Genomic DNA, 4,715 nt, shown 5'->3' on the forward strand with positions numbered 1-4,715 from the left:
ACAAGAGGATCCACCTGAGATATGGAGAACCACAAGGAGAGGCCCAGCCCTTTCCTCTCCACCCTGGTGGGGAGCCCATCCTTGCTCCCCTCACTCTGAGGGACCACATCAGGCCCTCCTGGGCAGAGGAAGGGAGGGTGGGAGGAAGGGGTGTGCAGCGACAGTGCTGCCCTGCCCCAGGGGTGAGGGGTGAGGGTCATGGCCTCTTAAAGTAGAAGAGCAAGGTGCTGTCTTTGAGCCAGAAGCAGGATTGCGGCCGGCAGTAACAGACCAGAGACACCTCCAGCCCATGGGCCCTGTAGAGCCACTTGACCACCACATCAACCAGACTGTGGGAAAGGAGCCAATTTATGAAATTAAATAAAGTCCACAAAGGGAGTGAGAAATTCGGGCTCAGGCACCCCACCCCGGCTGGGCCCAGCACTGCTGGAGCACAGCGCACCAGGCACCCCCACTGTCTCACCCCTCTCAAGAGGGGGCTTAAATAGGCCAGGCCCCAGCCTGGAGGCCGGGGGTCCCGGGGCCTAGGGCGGACAGAAGTCGGAGAAGTAGGGGTGCTGCAGGGCCTCTTCTGCTGAGATACGCTGGACAGGGTTACACTTCAGAAGGTTCTGGAGATGGGGGAAAGGAGGTGGCAGGTTCAGGACAGGTCACTGCCCAGAGCCCTGCCTTCCTGTAGTCCCACTGGGCAAGTGTCCTGACCCACCCTCTACCCCTGGTCACCTACCTGCAGCAGATCCCTCCCTGTGGCATTGAGTTTGGGCACGACGTTCACCAGGGATGTTGTGGCCGGGTACATCGGATAGGGCTGTGGAGAGGCAGGGAGGGTCAGACTAGAGGTAGGGGGAGGGGGATGGAGGCGCTAGGAATGTGAAACGAGTGACCCTGATGAACCATGACCCCCACATTCCCCATCACACCTTATAGTCTGGCAGCTTGGTCATAGAGGGCCACTGCTCCTCGGTGGGCGTCCCCAGCAGTGTGTCCACGGAGTCAAGGATCACTTGGGAAAGGGCCACAGCTGCATCTTCAGGGGCAGGGTGAGGGCCTCTTCCCCTCCTGGGGAGGGATTCCTCATACCCACCGCCCACTTCTCACCCTCCCTTTACCCTCCGGCTTGAGCTTGACAGAAGCAGCCCCAGGCAGGTCACTCGCATATCCAGCCACGTTTCCCATGACAATCACCTAACCCACATGCTGCTGTCCTAGTCCTAATGAAACAGTCCTTGCCCTGCTCCCACAAAATGTGTCCTGTTCTCTTTGGCTCCTTCATCCTGGCATCCATCTCTCACCTGGAGGGACACCCTCTCGGCTTCACCCCTCAGGGCACGCTGCCTGTCTCCAAGCCACACCTTCTCCAGTGTGCATTTGCACTGTGACAATCAGGGTGTCCAGCACCCCTGCTCTCTCCCCTTGCCCTCAGGAGAAGCCCTACAGACCCCATCACCCTACCCCACACCATCACTGCCCTCACCCATTGTGCTCAAAACTCCATGGACTCTCCCCTCCCAGAGGGCTCAAGGCAGAGGAAAGCAAGGATATCGGAAGATCCTCTTCAACTGGTCATCGACATCATTGCCGGGAAAAAGAGGCCGCCCAGCATTGGCCAGCTCTGGGGGATAGACAGGGGGCTAAGATGTGACATGTGAAGGACCCCTCACTCTGAGGTACCCCCTGACCTTCCAGCTCCAGTCCCAGGGCCTCCCTCCCTTCCCCCAGAGGGGACCCTCCAGACCCTATTTGTCAACTCAAATGGGAAAGAAGGTGCCTCTGCAACACCCCAGCACATCACCTGCAAAGATGCAGCCGGCTGACCACATGTCGATGGACGTGGAGTACAGCTTGGCCCCAAAGAGGACATCCGGTGGGCGGTACCACAGTGTGACCACCTGGAGGAGACCCCCCCCGAAAGGGACCTCCCACTTAGAGGACTGGGGAGGAGGTTTGAGGAGGAGGCTCAGAGAGGAGAGGAAAATAATGTTTTGGGTCCTGGGGTTGGAGCTGAGGGACTCCCTCCCCCAATCCCATATCCCATCTTCTAGCTCACCTCAGCTGAGTAACAGCGGACGGGAATCCCAAAGGCTCGAGCCAGGCCAAAATCAGCCAATTTCAGCTCCCCATTCTGAAGGGAATGGGAAGGGGACATGGAGAAGGGCCTTTAAAAAGCCTTGGGACAGCACCAACTCCATCCTCCCAGTCCTCTTCCCTCTGTGCTCCCCGTGCCCTGGCCCCAGCCTCTCCATTCCCCACCTTCTTCCCAAGAAGTACCCTGTTTATTAGCAGGTTCTGGGGCTTCAGGTCCCTGTGTAGCACATTGCGGCTATGACAGAATCCCAGCCCTTTTAGTAGCTGGAAGAGGAATGACTGGGAGGAGAGAGGGAGAAGGGAGTCAGACGCCCTGAACATGCAACTGTGCCCAGCAACGGGTCGGCTCCTCTCCTCACCCTGTGCTTCGCTCCACCCCACCCACCTTTCAGCACCTGGTTCAGAGTGACACCATTCATTCGCCATCCAGGACCTGCTTTATACTGTGCTAGGCATTAGAGGGACCAAAGTAAAGAAGCTGGCTCTGGTCCCCACCTTCCTGGACCATACAGCCTAATGGGCCTTGGCAGGTGGATCCTAGATCCGGCCTAGATCCCAGCCCATGCTGATCTTCCCTTCCTGGCCGCATCTGAGTATGCACGCCGTGAACATCAACATAAATATCGTGCTGTAGTATCATTCAGGACTGGCTCCCCTGGAACCTGGACCAAGGCATTTGGTCTTGGGCCTAGAAAAGCACCTGGCACACAGTGAAGCATTCAGTAAGTATGTGTTGAATGAATGAGTGTATCTCCTTGAACCTCATTTTCTCATCTCTCGAGTGTAAATAATATCACTGACATCAGAATGACACTGTGCGGGTCAAAGATGACCACGTGAAAATGCTCACTAAGACTGGAGACCCCTGGAGGACAGAAACAGGGTTTTCTCATTCTCTAACACCCTAGAGTGTCCCTGTTCAGGGCCCAAACTTAGAGCCCAAGGGGTGCTTACACCGAATGCAGACTCCGACCCCAGCCTGAGGGGTCCCCCAACACCACTCTCCTCACCTTTACAATCTCAGGATCGAGGTCACCATTGCAACTGTCAAAATACTTCTTCAGGTCCTGAAAAGGGATATGAGTGGGGGAATGGGACAGAGTTTAACCTCAATCTGGGCCCCTATACCTTCCCAAGGCTACTGTCCTCCAAACCCCGCCTTTCACCTGGTCACAGAATTCAAAAACCAAAGTCAGCTTCTTGTCGCTGTGCAGGACGTCATGAAGCCTAGGGCAAAAGAAGGGCTCAGCCAGGCAGGTCCGCCTGACAGACGTCCAGTGTCAGCCCCCGCCTCCCCCAAGCGGCCACACCGGCAAGGAGCACCCGCCTCCCGCACACCTGACGATGTTCTTGTGCTTCAGCTCCTTGAGTAGGCAGATCTCCCGGAGGGCGGAACTCGGCACACCCTGCATATGTGAGGGGGCCGGTGGGCAGCAGTCAGATCCCACCCAGCCCAGGCCCTCAAACCCCTCCCCAGGCCGTATCCCACTCCCCAGTCCTACCTCATCATCGTCATCCAGCCTCACCCGTTTCAGAGCCACGATCTCATGAGTCTCCCGGTTTTTGGCCTTGAACACAGTTCCGTAGGTGCCTAGGGGAAGGAGGTCAGGGGTCAGGGTGAGGATGCGGCACTCTTCCCTAAGCCAGGAAATGCCTCCTGAGAGAGGTGAAGGCAGCGTCTCAGTATGCAAGGGAAGGGATTCAGGGTGAAGGTAGGTTGGTGAGCTTTGTGAGTGAGGATGTGGCAGGTGGGGAGGGAGGAGAAGGTGCCCACCGAGGCTCCAGGGGCTCGGCAGGAGGGGCGAGTGCGGTTGCCAGGGCAAGGATGTCTAAAATGAAGGCGGTGCTCCGGAAGGGTCTGGAAATAGTGAGGAGGGGTCTGGGAGAGGACTGAGGGGCTGCAGAAATATTGAGGTTGGAGGTCTGCAGCAAGAAACGAGGCTGGGGGTCGGGGTGAGGTTGTCCAAGTGCTGCTGAGGCTGGGGTGAGAAATTTCAGGAAGTGTCGCGGTTGGGAGGTCGGGTCTACTGGGAACGCTAAGGTTGGAGTGAGAGCCCTGCGGGAAATGCTAACACGGGGAAGACTGGTGTCTGCACGGAGTGCTGAGCTAGGGGGCCAGGGCTGCAGCCGCTGCTGAGATCGGAGCCTGTAGGCATTGCTGACGGTAAGGGAGCCAGGGCTTCAAGGAATGCCGAAGGATCTGCAGAGGAGCTCTTGCAGGAACATCTCGAGATTCCATTACCTTCCCCAATCTTTTCCAGTTTCTCGTATTTCTGCATCGCGGCGGCCGCGGGGACCCCTGCGGGCCCTCGGTTTTAAGACTCTGGCCCCGGCGTTGCAGAGGAGGCGGCACCTGAGCCTCCAGCCCCGCCCCGTCTGCCCGCGCAGGGCCTTCTGGGGCTTGTAGTCCTAAAACGACTAGGTCTCCCCGCAATGCCCGAGACCGAGGACAAGAAGACTACAACCCCCAGCCGTCTGCGCTCACGCTCTCTGCAGCACTCGACTCCAGGGCTCCGTTTCTACCGCGGAGGCAAACCTTGGACTTCAAGTCCCAGGAAGCAACGCGTGTCCGTTTTCCGGGCGCCCCGCCGCGGCGCCGTGGTTCCCAGTGTGCCCCGCTGTTGTTATTC

General features: G+C 58.1%; 1 protein-coding gene across 2 annotated transcripts, besides 5 other annotated features; it reads right to left on the reverse strand.

Annotated features, from left to right (window-relative positions):
- Window positions 65-565: an enhancer, noted in NCBI's record as "H3K4me1 hESC enhancer chr7:150750636-150751136 (GRCh37/hg19 assembly coordinates)". NCBI's record gives its function as "activates a minimal SCP1, AML or CMV promoter by ChIP-STARR-seq in naive H9 embryonic stem cells {active_cell/tissue: H9 hESC(naive)}" and the evidence as "EXISTENCE:reporter gene assay evidence [ECO:0000049][PMID:30033119]".
- CDK5 (cyclin dependent kinase 5) lies at window positions 331-4,413 on the reverse strand. 2 transcript variants are annotated; one of them, NM_004935.4, is made up of 12 exons: window positions 4,328-4,413; window positions 3,588-3,676; window positions 3,424-3,491; window positions 3,252-3,312; window positions 3,096-3,152; window positions 2,269-2,364; window positions 2,048-2,122; window positions 1,793-1,889; window positions 1,543-1,612; window positions 921-981; window positions 728-808; window positions 331-611 (listed from the first exon to the last, which is right to left on the reverse strand). In NM_004935.4, exons 1-12 carry the CDS (start codon window positions 4,362-4,364, stop codon window positions 525-527), a joined length of 879 nt encoding a protein of 292 aa, NP_004926.1. In that variant the 5' UTR covers window positions 4,365-4,413; the 3' UTR covers window positions 331-524. The 2 variants fall into 2 exon arrangements, with proteins under 2 accessions (NP_004926.1, NP_001157882.1); NM_001164410.3 differs by lacking the exon at window positions 2,269-2,364.
- Window positions 3,684-4,217: an enhancer, noted in NCBI's record as "H3K4me1 hESC enhancer chr7:150754255-150754788 (GRCh37/hg19 assembly coordinates)". NCBI's record gives its function as "activates a minimal SCP1, AML or CMV promoter by ChIP-STARR-seq in primed H9 embryonic stem cells {active_cell/tissue: H9 hESC(primed)}" and the evidence as "EXISTENCE:reporter gene assay evidence [ECO:0000049][PMID:30033119]".
- Window positions 3,684-4,305: a biological region, named in NCBI's record as "H3K4me1 hESC enhancer GRCh37_chr7:150754255-150754788".
- Window positions 4,176-4,305: an enhancer, noted in NCBI's record as "active region_26846". NCBI's record gives its function as "activates an Ori minimal core promoter by ATAC-STARR-seq in GM12878 lymphoblastoid cells {active_cell/tissue: GM12878}" and the evidence as "EXISTENCE:reporter gene assay evidence [ECO:0000049][PMID:35858748]".
- Window positions 4,636-4,685: an enhancer, noted in NCBI's record as "active region_26847". NCBI's record gives its function as "activates an Ori minimal core promoter by ATAC-STARR-seq in GM12878 lymphoblastoid cells {active_cell/tissue: GM12878}" and the evidence as "EXISTENCE:reporter gene assay evidence [ECO:0000049][PMID:35858748]".

Source organism: Homo sapiens, chromosome 7 (assembly GCF_000001405.40).
Source record: "Homo sapiens chromosome 7, GRCh38.p14 Primary Assembly".
Taxonomy (NCBI): domain Eukaryota; kingdom Metazoa; phylum Chordata; class Mammalia; order Primates; family Hominidae; genus Homo; species Homo sapiens.

What these genes read in the sequence shown, in the direction of transcription:
- CDK5 (NM_004935.4), bottom strand. Translation starts at nt 4,364, where the DNA reads ATGCAGAAATACGAGAAACTGGAAAAGATTGGGGAAG. An exon ending in GGCTGGATGACGATGATGAG is followed by an intron (nt 3,492 to 3,587) that starts GTAGGACTGGGG and finishes TCACATATGCAG; the next exon opens with GGTGTGCCGAGTTCCGCCCT. An exon ending in CAGTTGAAGAGGATCTTCCG is followed by an intron (nt 982 to 1,542) that starts ATATCCTTGCTT and finishes CTCCGTGGACAC; the next exon opens with ACTGCTGGGGACGCCCACCG.